Raw genomic sequence first — 23,651 nt, forward strand, 5'->3', positions numbered from 1 at the left:
CAGGTTTTTGCATGGACAAAAAATTTAACTTATTTGGGAAAATATTAAGGAGTTTGATTACTGGGCAACATGGTAACAATATATTTAGTTTTGTAAGAAACTGCAAAACAGTTTTCCAAGATGGCTCTACCATTTTCATTCCTATAAGCAATGAACGAAATTTCCTGCTTCTCCACACCCCCACCAGCATTTGATGGAGTCAGTATTCTGAATTTAGACATTCTCATAGGTGTGTAGTGGTATCTCATTGTCACTAAATTCCTACTTTTAAAAACATTTGAACCCGACAATTTGAAAATATTAACAAAGTAAAAATTAAAAAAATGTTATCTCCCATGCCACCTATAATAAATGATACTGCTATAAATTTGTTAGAGAAGTCTGAAAAAAATTGTATGTATATTATTTTTTCCAATTAAATACTTCCAGCTTTTATGGGGGGCAAGTCTGTATTTTATGAAGTATTGTGGATAAATATACCAATACATATCTTCCTACAGACGATATAGAAATAAAGTGATAGAGTTTAGTCAAATTTAAATTAATTAATAATGTGAAATAAAGTTTTAAAAAATAGTTTAAAATCATTAAATGAGAAAACTGTGAAGTGATAGAAAGGAATTTTTTTTCATTACTAAAGACAAAATAGAAAAACAATAGCTATTTTTAATATAAAAATTTAAGTGTTCCAAGTTGAAATAGCAAGTAAATTTTAATGGAGAACATATAGTAATGAAGATGTTAAAATTGAGAATTTAAAATTATAAGCTTATTTATTCAAGAACCTATTCTAGGAAGTTTCTATGTAATTACAGACAACTCACAATTGAATAGATATGTTATGCTCAAAGTTTATTGATTCACACAAAAACAAAATCAAGTGTAAAAATGATAAATGCTAAATGATAAATGCTAAATACTGTATTCAGTGAATATAAAAAGAGAAAGCAAATAATCCAGTGTTATAAAAGCCATTTAATGGTCTTGCACAATTCCAGCAACTAGAAAACAAGCTATGTTAGTAAAATGAGGTAAGAAAAATTTTGTATCTTTCTGAAATATTTAATTATTCTGGTCTACACAAAATTATTCCTAACAATACTGGTTTAAAACATTACCTTGACTTCAATTATTGGTGGAGGTATTTCTAACTTCCTTCAAAAAAAGTTTCTGAAGTTAAATGAAAAGAAAAAAGCAATTTTTGTCACTAAAAATTAGTACTGACTGCCACATATTCTCCCAAACTGTGAAAGGGATCGTGTGTGTGTGTGTGTGTGTGTGTGTGTGTGTGTGTATGGCATATATTGTAATAAAGAACATTGAAAATTACTTTAGTATAATATGATCATAAAAGTAAAATTAAATTGACTACACCAATGTAGATAGAAATTCCATTTAACTGTGATATACAAATGTGCCTTTCATATATCCATCTACCACAAGAGTACTCTTCTTTGAGAATATTAGTCAAATGCTCAGCTCCCAACCCAATGTTATTTTCCACCTTCATTTGAAAACCATAAATTCAGAAATCAACTGGATATAACACATTGGTTACATAATTTTATATCCTATAAAGTTAGGGTTTAACACAGGAAACAAACACATTTTAAAACTATACATTTTAGACAGAAGTAAACTTAACACAGGAACTTAATACAGGGTGTTAAGTATGTAGAAAATCTGTGGAATTACTAGAGGAGATCTTAATTGCCTTCTATGAATTTCACCCACAACACATTGTAGAACTGATAATCCAAGGGACCTATTAAATCTCCTAGGATTTAATAGGCCACAATGATCAATAGTTCCGATAACCTTAAAGTAATAAGTTACTACAACACTATTGCCAAAAACAAAAATAAAGAAATGTTAATACTCGTATTTGTCAGTATCAATTAACTAAATGCAGTCATAACATTGTCTAAAGTTCCATCAGACCTTGTCCTCATGTGTCCAGAATTGATGGGTTCTTGGTCTCACTGACTTCAAGAATGAAGTCCTGGACCCTCGCAGTGAGTATTACAGTTCTTAAAGATGGTGTGTCCGGAGTTTGTTCCTTCTGATGTTCGGACGTGTTGGGAGTTTCTTCCTTCTGGTGGGTTCGTGGTCTCGCTGGCTTCAGGAGTGACGCTGCAGACCTTCGCAGTGAGTGTTACAGCTCTTAAGGTGGAAGGTGGCACGCCTGGAGTTGTTCCTTCCTCCCGTCCAGAGTTGTTCATTCCTTCCGGGTGGGTTCTTGGTCTCGCTGGCCTCAGGAGTGAAGCTGCAGACATTCGTGGTGAGTGTTACAGCTCATAAAGACAGTGTGGACCCAAAGAGTGAGCAGCAGCAAGATTTATTGCAAAAAGTGAAAGAAAAATGCTTCCACAGTGTGGAAGGGGACATGAGTGGGTTGCAGCTGCTGGCTCTGGCAGCCTGCCTTTATTCCCTCATCTGGCCTCACGCACATCCTGCTGATTGGTCCATTTTACAGAGAGCTGATTGGTCCATTTTGACAGGGTGCTGATTGGTGCATTTACGAACCTTGAGCTAGACACAAAAGTTCTCCAAGTCCCCACTAGACTAGCTAGACACAGAGCACTGATTGGTGTAATTACAAACCTTGAGCTAGACACAGGGTGCTGATTGGTGCGTTTTCAATCCCTGAGCCAGACACACAGTGCTGATTGGTGCATTTACAATTCTCTAGCTAGACATAAAAGTTCTCCAAGTCCCCATCAGATTAGCTAGACACAGAGCACGGACTGGTGCGTTTACAAACCTTTAGCTAGACACAGAGTGCTAATTGGTGTGTTTATGAACTTTGAGCTAGACACAGGGTGCTGACTCATGCATTTACAATCCCTGAGCTAGACACAGAGTGCTGATTGGTGCATTTACAATCCTATAGCTAGATATAAGTCCCCACCAGATTAGCTAGATACAGAGTGCCGAATGGTGCATCCACAAATCCCGAGCTAGACACAGAGTGCTGATTGCTGCATATACAATCCTCCAGCTAGACATAAAAGTTCTCCAAGTCCCCACCCAATCAGGAGCCCAGCTGGCTTCCCCTAGTGGATCCCACACTGGGGCCGTGGGCGGAGCTGCCTGTCAGTCCCACACCGTGTGCCCGCACTCCTCAGCCCTTGGGTGGTCGATGGGACTTGGCTCCGCAGAGCAGGGGGCAGCACCCGTCGGGGAGGCTCGGGTCACGCGGGAGCCCACTGGGGCTGGGGGGATTTGCTCAGGCATGGCAGGTGGCAGGTCCTGAGCCCTGCCCCGCGGGGAGGCAGCTGAGGCCTGGCGAGAATTCGAGTGTGGCATGGGTAGGCCAGCAGTGCTGGGCGACCCAGCACACCCTCCGCAGCTGCTGGCCCGGGTGCTAAGCCCCTCACTGCCTGGGGCCGGTGGCGCCGGCCACTCCAAGTGCAGAGCCCACCAAGTCCATGCCCACCCAGAACTCGCGCTGGCCTGCAAGTGCCATGCACAGCCTTGGTTCCTGCCTGCACCTCTCCCTCCACACCTTCCCACAAACAGAGGGAGCTGGCTCTGGCCTCAGCCAGCCCAGAGAGGGGCTCCCACAGTGCAGTGGCAGGCTGAAGGGCTCCTCAAGCACAGCCAGAGTGGGCGCTGAGGCCGAGGATGCGCCTAGAGTGAGCGAGGGCTGCCAGCACGCTGTCACCTCTCACTCACATTTGTGTGTTGATTACTCTCCAACTTAATTTTAATCTGATATTTGAATCTTGTATTCTGATGAAGACATTTAAAAGTTAACCACTGTCAACTTCCAATTCCAGCCAAGATAGCATAGCAAGAACCAAACACACATTCTTTCCCAAAACAACCAAAAACAAAAACAGACAAAATATATAAATTATCTTTTAAATTGGACATCAAGCAGAAAAGAACAGTGATCCTGAAAAAAAAAAAAAGATTGTAAACAAACATGCTGAACCCTACAATTGTTGCAGTTTACTGCCCTGAAAGATTTTGCAGGTTTATTGGGCATGCAGGAGTAACTGAGATTAACCTGGACAACTCCCTCAGTTGAGACAGAACTAAGAGTCCAGGAAGAGTGAGGCAGTAAAAGCTAACAGAATGGTGTACCGGAGAATAGATATTTGTACAGAGAGAACCCCAATGACATGTAAAAAGTCCTCATCAAGTATTGAATAGTTTCAATGTATTTATGAAGGAATTATCCAAGCCAAAGAAAAACTTCATCAAATGAGTTATAAGTAATAGTCTCTAACACACTCAGAGGGCTGGATATGGTGCCCATTGGCATGAGCTAAAATTAAAAAGGAAAACTAGTTTACAGGGTATCCTACTTTGCAAAGTCTTGCTTCATTAGTAGGAGATAATTAATCCAAGACTGAGCACTTATTAGGCCCAGCTTACAAGTCATAAAAGATAAATAGGAAGGCATCAAATTCCTTTCAATAATTTTATTTCAAGATTTCAGAAAAACAGGTTAATGAAACACGTGCAATACAAAATATACTTAGAACTCAACTTGGCAAAATATACAATGTGTGGCATCTAATCAAAGAATTTCAGGCTGGCAGGAGAAAAATGACCTACAATAAGGAGAAAAACTATCAATAGAAAGAGAACCAAGCTTACACAGCTGTTATAATTAGTATAGAAGGACATTTAAACAGTTATTACAACTTCATTCCATATGTTCAAAAGTTAAGTAAAAATCTAGTAGATTTAATAATGATAGAAAAACACTTATGGAGATGAAAACCACAATAACTGGGATGAAAAACTCACCATATCAGACACTGCAAAGAAAAATATTAATAAGCTTATAGAAATAGAAACTTCAAAAAATGAAACACAAAGATAAAAAAGAAATTTTTAAAAAACAGACAAAGCTGCAGTGAGCAGTGGCACAACTTCAAGCGGCCTACTACATAGGTAATTAGAGTCCCTGACGGGTAAAAGATAGAAAGGAAACAGAAATATTGAAAAATATAATGATCAAAAATGTATTAGACTTAATGGAAATTTTAAATTTACAGATCCAAAAACCAACCCAAAGCACAAGAAATGGAAAGAAAGTGACAACATAAAATCAATTTGCTCAAAATTTAGTTATAATAAGCGAACATCTTAATGACAGTCAAAGAGGAAAAAAAATATGTCATAGGAAAATGAATATAATGATGAAACTAGATTTCCAACTGAAGACCATATAAGTGATGAGAGTGTAAAACACCTTTCAAGTATTGAGAGAAAATTAAAAATTAGTTGAATATTTAATACCCAGAAAAAATACATTGGCAAAATAAAAAATGTTTTCAGAGCTACAAAAGCCGAGCAAATCCACCATGAGCTGACTCTCTCTAAAGAAATGCTAAAAAATGTGTGGCGTTATTTCTCAGGCCTCTGTTCTGTTCCATTGGTCTATATATCTGTTTTGGTACCAGTACCATGCTGTTTTGGTTACTGTAGCCTTGTAGTATAGTTTGAAGTCAGGAGGCATGATGCCTCCAGCTTTGTTCTTTTTGCTTAGGATTGTCTTGGCTATACAGGCTCTTTTTTGATTCCATGTGAAATTTAAAGTAGTTTTTTCTAATTTTTTGAAGAAGCCAGTGTTAGCTTGATGGGGATAGCATTGAATCTATAAATTACTTTGGGGACAATGGCCATTTTCATGATATTGATTCTTCTTCCCATCCATGAGCATGGAACGTTTTTCCATTTGTTTGTGTCCACTCTTATTTCCTTGAGCAGTGGTTTGTAGTTCTCCTTAAAGAGGCCCTTCACATCCCTTGTAAGTTGTATTCCTAGGTATTTTATTCTCTTTGTAGCAATTGTGAATGGGAGTTCACTCATGATTTGCTCTATATTTGTCTATTATTGTTTTATAGGAATGCTTGTGATTTTGGGGCACTGATTATTAGCTTAGGGAGATTTGAGGCTGAGACGATGGGGTTCTCTAAATATACACTCATGCCATCTGCAAACAAAGACAATTTGACTTCCTCTTTTAACAAATTTGACAAAAACAAGCAATGGGGAAAGGATTCCCTATTTAATAAATGGTGTTGGGAAAACTGGCTAGCCATATGCAGAAAACTGAAACTGGACCCCTTCTTTACACCTTGTTCAAAAATTAACTCAAGATGTGCTAAAGACTTAAACATAAGACCTAAAACCATAAAAACCCCAGAAGAAATCCTAGGCAATACAATTCAGGACATAGGCCTGGGCCAAGACTTCAAGACTAAACACCGAAAGCAATGGCAACAAAAGCCAAACTTGACAAACGGGATTTAATTAAACTAAAGAGCTTCTGCACATCAAAAGAAACTATCATCAGAGTGAACAGGCCTCCTACAGAATGGCAGAAAATTTTTGCAATCTACCCATCTGACAAAGGGCTAATATCCAGAATCTACAATGAACTTAAACAAATTTACAAGAAAGAAACATACAACCCCGTTAAAAAGTGGGCAAAGGATCTAAACAGACACTCCTCAAAAGAAGACATTCATGTGGCCAACAAAGATATGAAAAAAAGCTCATCATCACTGCTCATTAGAGAAATTCAAATCAAAACCACAGTGAGATACCATCTCATTGTGAGATGGTGATCATTAACAAGTCAGGAAACAACGAATGCTGGAGAGAACATGGAGAAATAAGAACGCTTTTACACTCTTGGTGAGAGTATAAATTAGTTCAACCATTGTGGAAGACAGTGTGGCAATTCCTCAAAGATCTAGAATCAGAAATACCATTTGACCCAGCAATCCCTTTACTGGGTATACAACCAAAGGATTATAAATCATTCTACTACAAAGACACATGCACATATATGTTTATTGCAGCACTGTTCACAAAAGACTTAGAACCAACCCAAATGCTCATTAATGATAGACTGGATAAATAAAATGTGGCACATATATACCATGTAATACTATGCAGTCATAAAAAAGAATGAGTTCATGTCCTTTGCAGGGACATGGATGAAGCTGGAAACCATCATTCTCAGTAAACTAACACAGGAACTGAAAACCATACACCGTATATTCTCACTCATAAGTGGGAGTTGAACAATGAGAACACATGGACACAGGGAGCGGAACATCACACACCAGGACCTGTTGGGGGGTGGGGAGTTGGGGGAGGGATAGTATTAGGAGAAATACCTAATGTAGATGATGGGTTGATGGGTGCAGCAAACCACCATGGTGCGTGTATACCTATGTAACAAACCTGCACATTCTGCACATGTATCCAAGGATTTAAAATATAATAAACACACACACACAGACAAAAGAAATGTTAAAAAATGTATTTCAGGCAGAAGAATAATGATACCACATCCAAATATATAATGATTAAAACCAGAAACACCATAAGAAAATGATTTTCTTATTTTTAATATAATTATTTAAACAAAAATAATAGCAATGAATTCTGAGGTTTATATTATATATGAAAGCAAAAGAATGACAATAACATAAAGACTTAAAGGAATGAAATGACGGTCAACTCTGATAAAATTCTTACACTGTAAATGAAGTGGTATAACATCACTTGAAGATAGACTGTAATCAGTTTAGATTCATACTATAAACTATAAAATGTCTAGAATTAAGAAACAAACAAAGCACTAGATTAATCTAAAACATGGAAGACAATGTCTGGGCAAAGTTGAGGTGGTGGTACCTGTTCCCCTGCCATTGCTGCACTGAGTTTCCATCAGCAGCCTCGGGCTACAGATATTATGGCCTTTCCCCTGCAGATTAGCGCTTTTGTTCTGTAAGAGAGATAAGGAATATGTGTGTCTGGTAGTGATTGGAGAAAATAAGTCTGAACGGAACTTCAGCAGTGGCTGTTCTTTCCCTTAATTAGCCACCATCAGGAAGAAGTTTTTAGGATCCTCTGCTATGTTTCTTGTGACTACCTGGTAAGTTTCTTGGAGGAAAAGCCTGCAAGAGAGTGCAAACCTCCCTCTGTCGATGACTACCAGATTCTTCAAACAATCACACTAGCCTATATTTAGTTTTTAGCAGTATGTTAAAAATTTCTGACTTTTTCACTAGTGTATATACCTTTTGCCAGTATTTGCACAAGATAAGCAAATCCTGAAATTTTGTTTTTCCGTGCATGAGATGGTCTTTCTCAAGATAGGATGTTAGTTGTTTGCCCTGTGACTTCAGTTATTCGATGCATTCAAGAAATGTCAGAAATCTGTAGTTTCTTCTGCTGTTTTAATTGTTTGAACAATGCTCTTTCCAGGTCTCTACATCCTTCAGGTGAAGTCAGAATTTGCTTTATAAATTCTGAAGCTCTCTTTTAGGTGCATACATATTTAAGACTGTTATATCTTATAGAATTATTACCTTTATTTATTAATGTATTCCTTTATCCCTTTCATATTTATGCTATAAAATCTACTTTGGTATCAATATAGCTCTTCCAGACTTCTTCTGATTAGTGCTTCCATGGTATAACTTTCACCATTCTTGGACATTTAACTCATGCTCTTATATTTAAGAGGGCTCCTTTTAGGCAACATATAATTAGGTCTTGCTTCTGCTATCCAAACTTGACAATTTCTTCATTTTATTTGTGCCTCCAGATTGCTTTCATGTAATGTAAACATGAACCTTACTGGTAATATTTACCACCTTGTTAGTTGTTTTCTATTCATTATTCTGTTCTTTGATTCTTTATTCTCTACTGTACTCTCTGCTTTTACATTGACAATGTTTTAATTTGATTTTTTCTCTTATTGGATTATTAACATTGCATATTAAATATTTAGTAGTTCCCTATAATTTGTGATATACCTTGTAATAAATAGCAATTTATTTTCAAATAAATTTATGCTACTTCATATGTAGTTTAAGGATCTAACATCTATCAATTCCCATTTCCCCTACCTTGTACTTTGTGGTATTCCTGTTATAAATTGTAAGTTAAACCTATGCTCAAATATGTAGTATATCACTACTATGTTTTATTTAAAGAATGAGTATTTTTCTAGAGCAACTGAAATATAAATAAAATTTTAGTTTTACTTTTTACCTTTTTCTCATTTTTTCCTGTTTTCTGTGCTCTTCATTTGTTTGTGAAGATCTAAAATTCTCTCTGATGGCACATTTATTCCTTTATCTTTTAACTTCTTGTAGTGCTGGTCTGCTGGAAGTGAATCTCTCATTTGTTGCAGTTTCTTTCTGTTGGTTTTTTTGTTTTGTTATATTTTGTCTGACATACTCTTTATTTGTTCTTCATTTGTCATTTTTTTTCCTAAAATCCTGAGTTGACAGTTTTTTTTTTTTTTTTTTTTTTTTTTTTTTTTTTTTTTTTCCCCCAGCACTTGACATATATCACTCTGTTTGCTTCAACCTTGCCTGGTTTATGAGAAATCTCTGTTATTCTATCCTTTGTTTTTATGTATGCAATATCCACACCTCATTCCAGCCTACCTCACCCTGGCTATTTTATAGGTGTCTCACTTGTACTTTGCTGTTTGTTATTAATTTTGGAATATTTGTTCCCATTCTTTTTTCTCTGTGATTACAGTAATAAAAGTATTAAGTATTTTGTATATTATCTCATAGCTTTCAAATATTTTTACTATTTTTCTATTTGTGTTTTAGTTCAGGTAATTTCCATTTACTTATTTTCAAGTTCCCTGATTCCTTCCTCAGCTATGTTGCTTTCAGTAATCAGCTTACTTCATCTGTTATTTTCATATTTTGCATTTCTTTTGACTTCCATCTCTTGCTCACATTACCCATGCAATCTTGCATGTCAACCTTTTCCATTAGTCTTTAACATGTTTTTCAATATTTTAAATTTTCTCTCTGGTAATTCCAGCACATATATCATATTTGAGTCTATTTCTATTGATTGATTTGTTTCATGGTAGTGAGTTATCTCTTACCTCTTCACAATTTTTGGCTGAATTTCAGAAATATTGTGTAGGGCAATATTTTATATTTACACAGTTTTGTATAAATATGTTTGGATGTTTGGAAATCACCAACTCATTTTGCCTTGGGCCATTAATAGCAATGTTTTGGTCAATGCAGTCAGGAGTTGAGGTGAGTTTGAGCTTTGTTGTTGTCGTTGCTATGATTAATCTCAGGGCACCATAAGCTTTAAATTCCTTCAAAAGACAATGTTTTTATGGTGGAAGCTTGTTTGACAAAAGATTTTTCTCAATAACTAGTCTATCCTTAATTTTGTGTCTCCCATTTGCACTGTGCCTCACAGAGGGATGTTCTCTCAGCAGCATTCCCCTATAAATTGAGAACAGCTTGTTAGCTGAGGGTGGGAAAAGGATAGAGGATGGGGATTGTAAAACTTTAGTTTTAGTTTTAGGCAGGCATTTGGTCGGCAGATCTCAGGAGTCTTGCTTTCTCAATGTCAATATTCGCTCCCTACCCAAATGTAGATATGAGTTTAACACATATACTTGATGCCCTTCCTTTCCCTAGGATTACACCTTATATTGTATTCCTTCTACACAGCTACAATGGATTTTTCCTTGTGCCCTAAGGATAACAATATTTGTTGTTCTCTCTTTAGTTTAAGGCTCTTTTCCCCCATAGAGGAGATAAGGGAGACCAATCTGATAGGTTCCACGTCTTTCTTACAACAGCTGTTGTTCTTCTCTATACTATGATGGATGTTTTCTCAGGGATCTTGCAAATTTTTTTTTTTTTGGATGTAAGCCATATTTGGCTTTGATCTATTCATTAACAACTTCTGGTGAATTCTTCTTACTGGTATCTGACTGCTTTTATCCTAGGTCTCCAACTCTCTCTCTCTCTCTCTCCCCCTCCGCTTAGGCCCCAGTGTTTCTGTAGGTTTCAGAAGAGTTAGTTTTCCCTGTTTTTTCTCAGATTCAACAAAACTGTGGCTTTTTGTTTCACTCAACTTTTATTGCTTTGTTTGTAAAGATGGGAGTGATAGTCTCTAGTCTTTCCATCTTTCCACATCCTAGATAGTAACTAGAACTCTGTGCTTGATTTAAAATATACCTGGATATTCATGAACTCTTCAGTTGTTTTTTTTTTTTTAACATTTTAGAACATGTTTAGACCTTCAAAACAAAAATCATACATTTCCTGCATAAATTCCTTTTTATAAAACATTTTTCATGACTTTCACAGACAATCTTCAACATGCCTTACCTTTCTGACTATGTTTTATAACCTTCCTTACTAAAGGTGCATTCTTTTTTTTTTTTTTAAGAGCTGGAGTAATCTCGGCACTTTGGGAGGCCGAGGTGGGTGGATCACCTGAAGTCAGGAGTTTGAGACCAGCCTTACCTACATGGTGAAACTCCGTCTCTACTAAAAATATAAAAATTAGCTGGGCGTGGTTGTGGGTATCTGTAATCCTAGCTACATGGGAGGCTGAGGCAGGAGAATCCCTTGAACCCAGGAGGCAGAGGTTGCAGTCAGCCAAGATGAAGCCCCTGCCCTCCAGACTAGGTGACAGAGCAAGACTCCGTCTCAAAAAAAAAAAAAAAAGAGATGGAGTGTAAACGGAGTATAAACTCCTTTTCCTTAAGTATGAACTTTCTTTCATGATTTCCTTATATCAGATGAAATATGGCAAAGTGACATTATTTGACTTTACATGCTAGGTCAGAAGAAAAGATTGTTTTTGTGTAGATTTCTTAGATTGTCTTCTTTGAAAGCCCTAAGCCTTCATATAAGGATTCTAGGTTATTTGACGCTGCTACCCTGAAAACAGACTATGTAGAGGACCCACTTAGAGGTAGAGAGGAATGCTGAGGAAGGTTTTCAAGCAGTAAGCAGTCCCATCTTCCATCTTATTGAGTCTTCCCAGCTCAGACATCAGACTTCCAAGTAAAAAAGCCCTCAAGATGATTCCAGGTTTTGCTAATTGTTTGACAGAATCCTCATTTGAGACCCTGAGAGAACCCAATCAGTCAAGCTGCTTGTAAAATTCAAACCCACAGAAACAAGATAAATTTTAAATAATTGTGTTATTTTAAACTGCAAACTTCTGTGATTATTTGGTATGCATTCATAGATAATTGATGTAGAATCTTATTTATGTATTAATTCTAATTGGCTTTAGAAATTCCCCTCTATATTTAGTGCTTCTCAAAAGTATTGGTATTGGGTAGTTCTCATTAAATTTGAATTACAAATGAACAGAATGAACATGATCACTAGTATAATAACACCATTCTAGAAGCTGATTAAAGATAACAGAAAGCAGTTGCATTTTTCCCAATTCCTTACAATTATGACAGCAATTCTTTACTTCAATTGTGAACCTGCCAGATTACATAAATAAAAATGAGGTTACATAATATTTAGGCTGAAAATCTTTAATTAAATATTGGGTATTGTTTAAAGTAACACTAGAATAATAATAGGCACCCCCTTTACAAACAAATCCATTTAGTTCTTGCCCAGGCAATTTCCTTTCTTTAAATATTTGCCAAATCATTTTATGAAAGAAATTTCCCCTGATTTTCAGAGTTATTTTAGGGCTCTCTCTTTTGTTCTTTCATAGGGGTATAAATTTCACAATCTCAATTACCTGATTACCATATTGGACAAGCTATTTGAGAATGAGAATTATATCTTGTTCAGTTAACACTAGAAACGGGCAAATAATAGCCCATCAATATGTGCTGAATATTTAATGCATTATTTGTTAATGTATCATTTAAAATGTCAACTTCTGTGAGTAATTTATATAGAGTAGGTGTATATGTTTTTTTTTTAAAAAATTCTTATTATTCATGCCATGGGATTACAAAAAAAAACACTAAAAGTATTATTTTCTTTGGAGTCAGAACAAGAGAGGAATACATGAAGTTTGAATAATATCTTGCTATACAGCTAAATTTTCTCAGACAAGGGGATGGAATATGATAAGGCTTGGTAAGGAATAAAATAAACAGCCATATTTTTCAGATAGAACAAATTATTGCAACATAGTAAATGAAACCATAAGTGAAAGAAAGCTTATAACCCTTGAACATTTCTTAATTGTTAAGCAGTGTAGGAGAAACATCTCAGAATCAATCTCTGCCTCGAAATAGAAGTGTGCTGCTTAAGACTTAACTTCACACTGGGAGCTACAGTGTACCAAAAAGAGAGAAAGGATAGCAATGAAGAAAGATTTTTAGATTAAAAACTATCAAAAGTATGGTCTTAAATTTATTCTAATGATTATTCTATCCCTATTAAATCTTAATGTCTTTTTGAGTTTATAGTTTAGTTATTCAAAGTCTAAAGTCCATCAAAAAATTAGAAAATGAACAATTACAAGCTTATTTTGCTGAATTGGGAATGTTACACTCAACTCCAGAGTAAATTCATGCAAGTTAAAACAAATAAGCTAACAACAAAAAAAACTATTATCTCAGTTGCTGACAACTTTTTTTAAAAATTATTTCTTGTTCAGGGAAATAAGTCCATGAAATAATTAATATAAAGAGTCTTAAAACGTGTCTGATATAATATATTTTACATTTTATACAACATATCATTTTTAGTTCACATAAGAAGGATAGTTTTTACTATTTGCTACAGGCACTTCTTTAAAGTCTTATCTTGAGTCTATATATTCCTTTGTTTTCTTTGGTTTTGTTTTAAAGCAGGATTGATTTTTACACTTCTATTTTTTTATTTTTTACAAATTGATTTATATTGTTTCTTTTAATTAAATTAACTGCACTTTTTCTTACTCATCTTATTACTGTTTTAGATTTTGTTGACCTAACACTATTGAAATAATCTTTTTTATCTTGCCTCTCTCTCCTTTCAAGTAGCCCTAATCAACTGTATCAATGAATAACATCAATACAGGCCAATACTTTTGATTTATAGTTTTGTACCTTGCTAGTCCAGTGACCTTGAATAAATTGCTGAATCCTTTTGAGCCTCCTTCTTTGTTTGTAAAATGTGAAAACTTTCTTATGTGATTTTGAGGGTAAATAAATTATGTATCTAAAGTACTCAGTATCATGTCTGACATACAGAAATGCATAATATAAGGATTGTAAATCCAAAATTCTTAAGATTCTAGTTTTATCACCATCAACTAGTTGTTTCGTGACTTTGGGCAAGTTTCTTAATATCTTTTACTCTCAGTTCTTATAAAATGGGAATAATACTAGTAAACTATGCTAAAGGGGCTTATGAAAACTGAATAAAATAGTACATATAAAGTACCCAGAAAATCGTCTGAAACATAATAAGCACTCAAAAATTATCAGTTGTAGTTATTTTATTTATTAATATATGTAAGATAGCCTTATTTCAAATAGCTACATAATTATAGCCATGGATTTTGATTGATTCCTTTAATTCAAATAGTGTTTTTAGATTGGAACATGAAATAATTTACATAAAGAAACTATGCTTAATATGAATACTATTATAAAGATTCACCTCTAAAATAATTTTTAAAGGTTTAATATTTTTAATGTATTGTATTCACAACTTAGAGAACATTAGAATCTTGAAACTATCAATTTATACTCTGTACTTTTAAAGCTACTGTGTCAGTCATCCCCAAGACCACTATTAGGCTCAAGGATTTGCTAATAAGGACCCACAAGGCTAGGAAAGCTGTTACACTCAGTTATGGCTTATTTCATTGAGAGGATACAGATTAAAACCAGCAGAGGGGAAAAATGCATGGACTAAAGTCCAGGAGAAATCATCTAGATGTCCACACTTGTGAAGTCAAACAGGAATGCACTTAATTCTCTCAGCAACGATGTATAACAATACATGCTAAGTGTTGCTAACTAGGAAAGCTCACCAGATTCTTGATGGCCAGTGTTTTTGTTGAGTCAGTCAGGCACATGACTGACCTCAGATGCTCAGACTTCAGCACCTGACCACAGACCAACATGACCTGTATAAAATACATCGCATTTGTGGAATAAACTTATCTGGTCAAACTGGTACAACATGGGCCAAGGCTTCAGGCATATAAAAGCAGGCATTTGCCATAAGTAAAGTGTGACCCAAGGCCTCAGGCATATAAAAAGACTCATTGGGAAGACTATTTCAAGGGAACAAGGGTTATCTCCCAGCAATTGGCCAGGTACTTTTTCATTTTTTAAAATAGATCTATATTTGGAATGGGCTGAGTCTGAGCAATCCAGACTACTAAGTTTACCTTTTATTGACTATTGCTCTCTCATTTTTTTCTTTTTTAATTTTTTTTAAAAACTTTTATTGTGCATAATAGATGTACATAGTTTTGGAATGCATATGATAAGTTAATACATGTATATAGTTTGTAAAAATCAAATCAGTATACTTGGGATATACATCATCTGAAATATTTGTCTTTTATGCTGGAAACATAACTAGCATAAACTAACCATTTTGGAATATAACAATACAGTATTGTAAACTATAGTCACCCTTCTGATCTATCAAGCACTAGGTTTTATTTTTCCTATCAAACCATATATTTGTACCCACTAATCAACATGTCATCCCTCCCTCCCCTTTATCAATCTGCTTTCTATTTTCATGAGATCCATTTCCTCGGCTCCCACATATGAGTGAGAACGTGCAGACTATTATCCTCTTCTATGGGTATTCCTTCCTATTATTTTCCCACTTACCTATTTCTTCACAAAATTATTCTAAATATAAATATCTTCTTTGAATTTGTACCATAATAATCTCAAATATCACTATTCTCACAGTGTATTATTCCTATCCACTTTCTATCAGCTAAAATATTTGACATGTATATGTATTTAATTTATGGTTTCCATACATATGTTTATTATATGCTTCTTTTTATATGCTCTGTTTCATTCTGACCAAGAATTCAGCAAGGGGGTCAGTCTTTACTTGTGTATCTCAATTGCAATTTTTAAAGTTTGTTTGTATTTTAGTTGCTCAATAAATGAAGTAATCTGACTGCCCTTTATTAGTTTTCTTTCTTAATCTCAGGCTGACTTCCACATTTCATAACTTGATATTGGATAATTTTCACAAAAAAGAAAAAAAAAGTTACCAAATAGTCTGTTGTTAATTTTCTTTAGAATACCTTAAATAAAATTTTTCGTTATCAAATCCCTCTTATACACCTAACTGGATTATTTTGATGAATGTATTAAAATAATACACATATAATAACTTTGAAAACATAAGTAAATTATTATTATATCACCATTTTACCCAAAAGAGTCAATGATAAGAAGGGAGTTTAATGTTCAGAGCTATTAAGTATATTTATTTTCTATTACATCCATGATTTTTGTTATATTTATATAAATTTTTAACAACATTTGGTTTTGTTTACAGTAGAACTATTTTCCATCTGAATAGAATCAAATCCCTCTGAAATAGCCTTAGGGAGCTTGCTAAATAAAAGTGTTAAGTTACATGAAATAGCTGTTACTATTATAACAACATTAAATAACATTTATTGGCTTGCTAATAGAAAATATCTGTTCTTCCATTATTACTTGAATGTCCCAATCTAAAATAACTAACTCTACAAGATTAAAAAGAAACAAGAGAACAAAGAGACATGTTTGCCTTCAGCTCCTTGGAGTAGAATTAAGGATAAGAATAGGTAAATTGTTAAGTAAAAATTTCTAAAAGAATATTGTGTAAAATATATAATCTCCAATTGTACCAATGCAATCCTCAATGTTGAGATGCTGATGCTCTCAAATTATTCCTATGTGTATGCACACTCACAAAAATTTCAATGCAGTTGAAAATTATTGTTTCTTTCAATATAATGCTGGACAATATCTCTAACTCTGCTGCAAAGTTCTCTATATAAACCAGAGATAGTGGTGATTTATTTTATAGTAATGTAAGGTGCAATATTTAGTCTTTTTGTTTATTGCAATATAAAATCCTATATTTTTCTCAAGTGCTAAGTTGTTTTATCACATAAATAAAAACTAATTTCAGCTCAACCAAAAAAAATCATTTCAATAAGCTTGGATAAATTTAATACCAGTCCAATTTTTATATTGCATTTGAAGCATCTGACAATTTTTATTCTATTCAGATCAGCCATTTTAAAGAATCAGAATAGTTGTTAAACTGTTTGCTGTCATTTTCATGCTCTGTCATGGATCCTGCTAAAAAGCATTGAGGGAAACAAACAAATAACAGCTTCTCTGTATAAGTCAAACTGGGAGGGATTGCCAACTAGGGGACTCATAAGTCTTTCTTTTATTCATTCTTATAGAACACTGTTTATTTTAAATAGAAAATAAACTGTAAAATAAATTATTACCTGAAGCTATCAAAAGCAGGTGTTGTTCTCCATAAGGCATTACTGGTTTTCAGCAAGACATATTTTGTTGTTATTTATAATTAAAAAATCATTGAACTTGTGATTAGCAACACGTTAAGAAATGAAACTCAATTCAAATGTAGTTGTGCTGTGTTGCCAAGTAATCTGATGAAAACGGAAGGGAAAACCCAGAAGATTTTTGTAGTGTCAGAAAATATCAGATTGTAGAGTTTCTGAAATATATTGTAAATTTCTAGTTATACATGAGAAACAGGATGCATTCACTTGCCAGTATTTCCTTCAGAAGTAACATTGTAATAGATAAATTTTAAATAATGGAAACATTCAAGAATAAAGTGAAGTGGAGGTAACTACTACTGATAAGAGAGAAAGTAATTGGAAATCTTCTAAAAACAGATGGAGACTTTTTATTGTTTTAATAACACAGGTACAAGTGATTCTGAAAAAAGAAAAAAAAAAGCAAGTTTTTTTAAGAGACTTTTTTTTTTTTTTTTTTTTTTTTGAGACGGAGTCTCGCTCTGTCGCCCAGGCTGGAGTGCAGTGGCGGGATCTCGGCTCACTGCAAGCTCCGCCTCCCGGGTTCACGCCATTCTCCTGCCTCAGCCTCCCAAGTAGCTGGGACTACAGGCGCCCGCCACTACGCCCGGCTAATTTTTTGTATTTTTAGTAGAGACGGGGTTTCACCATTTTAGCCGGGATGGTCTCGATCTCCTGACCTCGTGATCCGCCCGCCTCGGCCTCCCAAAGTGCTGGGATTACAGGCGTGAGCCACCGCGCCCGGCCTAGAGACTTTTAAACAGTCTAAAATATTGTCATCACCACTTATATTAAAATATAGAGGCAGGGCATGGTGGCTCACACCTGTAATCGCAGCACTTTGTGAGGCCAAGGTGGGCAGATTATCTGAGGTCAGGAGTTCCAGATCAGCCTGGGCAAGGTGGCGAAACCCCGTGTCTGCTAAAAATATGAAAATTAGATGGGCGTGGTGGCACTGGCCTGTAGTCTCAGATACTCAGGAGGCTGAACCACCGCACTATCTACAGATACGTATAAAGTAGTTAAACTGTATTTCTTTTTAAGACAGGGTCTAGCTCTGTCCCCCAGGCTCGAGTGCAGTGGTTTGATCTCAGCTCACTGCAGGCTTGACCTCCTGGGCTGAGGTGATCCTCCCACTTCAGCCTCCTAAGTAGCTTAGACTACAGGCCAGTGCCACCACACCCATTTAATTTTTGTATTTTTAGCAGACACGGGGTTTCTATTTATATATACACATCTATTTATAGATATATCTTTATAGATACGTGTAAAGTAATGAAACTGGTAAGAGGATTTTCTGAAAGTTTGTACAACTACTACATATTTATTCTAGACATCTTCTCCCAAAGCATTAAGCAGAATAAATTCAAGGGTCTCCTGTACAAGTGATAGATCATTCTTCACAGGATACATACTAAGAATAACCTAGTCTCCAGGCTCTTAGGGACAGCAAGGGCAAGCATGAAGCCCTTCACTGGAAGAAAAAAAAATAAAAGGGGGTTTGAAAAGTCTTTAGAGAGAATGATGATTACCACTGGCTTTTCCTCTTTATCTTCTGGGAATCTTCCTTTAGGAGCAATTCTATCAATAGTAAAGGATATGGAAGTATTTGGAGATGGTTAGACAAAACAGGAAAGAAATACTCACTTCAGGAAATAGACAATGCTGTCAAGTGCCAAATCACCACAACGTATGTACCACTATCTCTGAAGTAGTCTAAAATTGTTCCATTATGATATAATATTGTAAGAATGCTATTATAACTATGGAGTTACATTCCAAAATAAATACCTACTGAGTTGGGAAGGATGCCTCTGAGCTATGTTAATTAAGAGGAGGAAACTATGCAGCAGGGGTGGCTCTTTCTCATTATACTCCTAGTAGTGCAGTATAACTTTATGACTATGTTCACATGATAAAAGAAGTTTATATATATGTATATAAATTCATAAAATGAGTAACTTTTATAAAACAACTCGTATATCTCATGTTCAAGATAAAGAAACAATGACTTGTGTCTAGGAAGAGAAGCTGATTGGAATTTTAGAAGGGCTATGTACCGGTGCTGTATTTATCGGTCATTTAAAAATTATATTGGCAATACAATAGGACTTTTATTCTATAGACATTTTTCTTAATGTATTATGATGTTTACAACAGGGCCAACAAGTGCTTTTTGTAAAGGAATACAGAGTAAATAGGCTTCATAGGCCAAGAGATAAAACAAATGACTATATATAGGTATTATATAACAAGGAAGAAGAAATTACAAATAATTTTATTAGCAAAATTTAAAACATTATTTTTTCATATCATATATCCACTTGTATAGATTTATAATTATTGTTTCAGACAATTGTCTTCTGAATAACATAAGAAAAAAAGAGGAGGTGAAAGCCAAAAATAAAATAATGATGGTTTTTATATTTACCTATGTAGTCACATTTACCAATGTGCTTTATTTCTATTTGGCCTCAGTTATTGCCTAATGTACTTTCAATTTATCCTGAAAAGTTCCCTTGAGTATTTATTGAAGGGCAGATCTACTATTGACAAACTTTCTCTGCTTTTGTTTTACTGAGAATGTTTTCAATTTCTCTTTAATTTTTTTAAGAGCAGTTTTGCTGGTTAAAAAATTTTGGTTGATATTTGCTTTTATTCATCACCCTGAATAAGTCATCCTGCTACCCTCTGCTTTCAGGGTTGCTCATGAGAAATTGTGTGTTAATCTCATAAGTTATAAGTTGCTTCTTTCTTGTTACTTTCAAGATTCTCATTTTTTCTTTGGCTTTAACAACATAATTATAATACATGTCAGTATGACTCTCTTTGAGCTTTTCCACATGGAGTTCATTGACCTACTTGGATCTATAGGCTGATGTCTTTCACCATATTTAGAAAGTATTCATCTACTATTTATGTTTTTTCTTTCTGGCCCTTTCTTATCTCTCCTTCTGGGATTCACATTGTGTGTATTTTGGTGTGCTTGATGGTGTCCCACAGGCCTCTTAGGCCCTATAAATTTTCTTTATTCTATTTATTTCTGCTTCTCATATAATAGTCTTAATTAATGTATTTTTAAGTTTACTTATTTCTTCTGTATACTCAAATTTGCTGTTAAATTCTAGTAAATTTTTCACTTCAGTTATAAAATGTTTTATTCTAGGATTTCTATTTGGATTTATTTTTATAAGTTCTCTTTCTGTTGGGATTCTATATTTGGTGAGATTGTTCCCCCTTTTTTGTTGTTGTTGTTTTTTTTTAGTTGATTTCATTGATTTTCTTTAACTCTTTAAGAATAGTAAAGATACCTGATATAAAATATTTGTCTAGATAGTTTAATGTCTGGGGTTCCTCCCATACATTTTCTAGTAATTCCTTTTCTTTATTCCCTTATGAGTGGTCTATACATTCTTGTTTCTCTTTATAGTTCATATTTTCTTTTTGTAAAAAATTGGATATATTGAATATTATAATATTTTAATTCTGGAAGTCAGATTCTGCCCCGCCCTAGAGCTGATTATCATCGTCAGTTTTAGCTGTTTGTTTAAACACTTTTCTAAACTGGTTTCGTAAAGACTGTATTCTCTGTCATGTGTGGTCACTTGGTCACTGACAGATATCTCTGTTCCGTTAGCTTAATGGTCAGCATGTTACTCAAAACAGATTTCCTAGAACACCTAGAGACTAAAAATAAAAAATAAACTCCTACTCTTTGAAATTACTTTTGTGTTGAGCATGTGTTTTCAGTGCTAGTTGGCCCCTTTACAACCCTGCCTTAGCTGTCAAATTCTGCTTTCATGGAGCCTAAAAGTGAGCAAGAGGTGAAAGAATAGCATCTTCTTTGGTCATTAATGCGCTTGCATTCAGCCCCAGGAATGCATGTTGCCTTCTGTACTCCTCTGTATAAGTGAAAGCTCTCTTATCTATTTTTGTCTTCAATCTCTGTTTTCAGGACTTTTTTGTTCCATTTATTATCCCTTGCTCAATACCTGCAGCTCTTATATTTTCCTTTAAATGCTTTCAACATATGCCTTGAGAATGTTTTTAAGTAGATAAAACAAAGGTAAGCAAAGTCCCAGGAAACCACCAGGGAAATCGAAATACACAACCACTATTCCTTAAGCAAAAGATCCATGTTGCCTACTCTTTTATTGAAAATTTGGCAGTTTCTTTCCTTATTAAGCATTTCCCTGGTTGTTGTAAGATTTTGGTTCTATTACACAGATCTAAGAAGTTTAGTCTGAGAAATTTTGCCAGCCTAATTTTTGCTTTGGTGGAAGGAAAGATGTGGAGTTTCTTACTCTGTTATTTTAGATGACATCAGTAGCAAAACATGTATTTTCTATCATTAAAATCTAGCTTGACCATGCAATTACCATATTTTTTCTGCACTTAAAATCATACTAGATTTTTACTTAGATTTTATTATTTCAGATGTTGAACATTTTTAAACAATTTGAAGTTATAAAAATGAATATATTACGTAGGTAATCAAATCACAATGAGAAAATATTTCAATTACACTGAATTTTCCACTAACAATACAAAGAGTAAATCCTGGAACAATTGTGGTTTGAATACAGACCATTGTGCCCACAAGTGAAATGTCTTTGATTAGCCTAAAATACAGCTATAATAAAATTTCACATTATGGATGGAAAACATTTTATATTTGTTTGTCTAATATTACAAAATAGCTGAAACTAATATTGTATCTGGTATATAGTAGAATGTCAGTACATACTTTTGGTCACTTCCTAATTCATTCTATTGCTAATGAAGACATGCGTTACTACACAATTAAAGACTGACTGAAAATCTCACAAGTATGTTAAAATATTTTGATTAGTAGCATGTTGATTCTAGATAAGCTTGCTTAAAAAACAAACAAAAAAAAAAGGAGACAATGTCTCTCTATGCTGTTCAGCTGGTCTCAAATTCGTGTTTTCAAATGATCCTCTTGCCTTGGCCTCCCAAACGGTTGGGATTATAGGCATGAGCCATCACAGCCATAGGCTTACTTTGCAATTCATAAATTTGTGTTAATCAGGATATAAATCTGTATCTGTATATTTGTTTTCATTGTGAAGTTTCTTGATTTTACACTGAATGTGATCACATTTTGAGAAAATACAGATAAACTGTCCAATGTACTTAATCTACTAGGAAGAATAGACCTATATTTTATTATTAAAAATTGTGTAAATTTTAGTTAGCTTAATTGAACAATTAAGCTTAAAATGAATAAGAACAGTGTTCACATTCATTTTATTTCTATTTTCCTCTTTCTTAGAGCTTGGACATTTCTTTTAGAATTCCTTGTTCTTCCTTTCTTTTTTTTATTTTGTATTTTATTTTATTTTATTTTTTATTATATTTTATGTTTTAGGGTACATGTGCACAACTTCAGTAACAGAAAAAGGGAAGAGAAGCAGATAGCAAATCATTTTCTTCTTTAATACTTCAAAACCTTCCCTAGAAAATTGTTTAGAAGCACCCACATACAAGCAGCGTATCTGTGAAAAGTAGTCCATTTTCTATTATGTTCCAGAGGTGGCTATTGTTGTATAGTCTTAAATTCCTACATTTTCCCACACTCCATACATTCCCCCTCCTTCCTGAAACAGAATGGTTCAGTAATTCTCAATTCTTAACGTTTGTGAGAAGACAGAAAAGTATCTCAAAAAACAGTGTGGAGAGGAATAAAATGGGGATATTGAGAGCTTTCTGTCAGTGTATTATTTCATCTTTCCTTCATAATCTTTTTATTTATTTGTTATGTTTGAGCAAGAGTGGTAACTGATAATGAGAAATTAAAATGTTCAGTGTTAGAAAATATCTTTAAAAGAATGCTTTGACTATTTCCCTTGTGAGTGGTCCATACATTCTTGTTTCTCTTTATGGTTCACATTTTCTTTTGGTAAAAATTGGACATTTTTACCAAAATTACAAAATTATAATTACAGTATTATAATATTGTAATTCTGGAAGTCAGATTATGCACCTCCCTAGAGTTGATTATCACTGCTTTGTGAGTTTTAGCTGTTTGTTTACATACTTTTCTAACCTAGTTTTGTAAAGACTGTATTCTTTGTCATTTATGGTCTCTTGGTCACTGACATCTTTGTTCCATTAGCTTAATGGTCAGCATGTTATCCAAAAAAGATTTTGATTTAAAATTCTGATCTAAATATCTAAGTTAAAGGTATTCTTCCTGTAATCAGCTATTCTCTCTCTTTAGCAGTTTCTCATGGTAACTAGTATTTAATACCAAATTTGAAAACAATGTATTTGTATTACCAAATATAGATATTTCCATTTTAGATCTTGACACTGTGGAT

The 23,651-nt window shown here is 34.4% G+C and overlaps 1 long non-coding RNA gene across 2 annotated transcripts in view, besides 1 other annotated feature; it reads right to left on the reverse strand.

The window, feature by feature from the left end:
- The window catches only part of LOC105370214 (uncharacterized), a 477,307-nt gene that overhangs the window by 397,677 nt on the left and 55,979 nt on the right, over nt 1–23,651 (reverse strand). The gene's annotated exons all lie outside the window — the stretch shown is intronic.
- Nucleotides 14,487–15,016: an enhancer, noted in NCBI's record as "NANOG hESC enhancer chr13:57244613-57245142 (GRCh37/hg19 assembly coordinates)". NCBI's record gives its function as "activates a minimal SCP1, AML or CMV promoter by ChIP-STARR-seq in primed H9 embryonic stem cells {active_cell/tissue: H9 hESC(primed)}" and the evidence as "EXISTENCE:reporter gene assay evidence [ECO:0000049][PMID:30033119]".

This window comes from Homo sapiens, chromosome 13, assembly GCF_000001405.40.
Source record: "Homo sapiens chromosome 13, GRCh38.p14 Primary Assembly".
In the NCBI taxonomy this organism is placed as follows: Eukaryota; Metazoa; Chordata; class Mammalia; order Primates; family Hominidae; genus Homo; species Homo sapiens.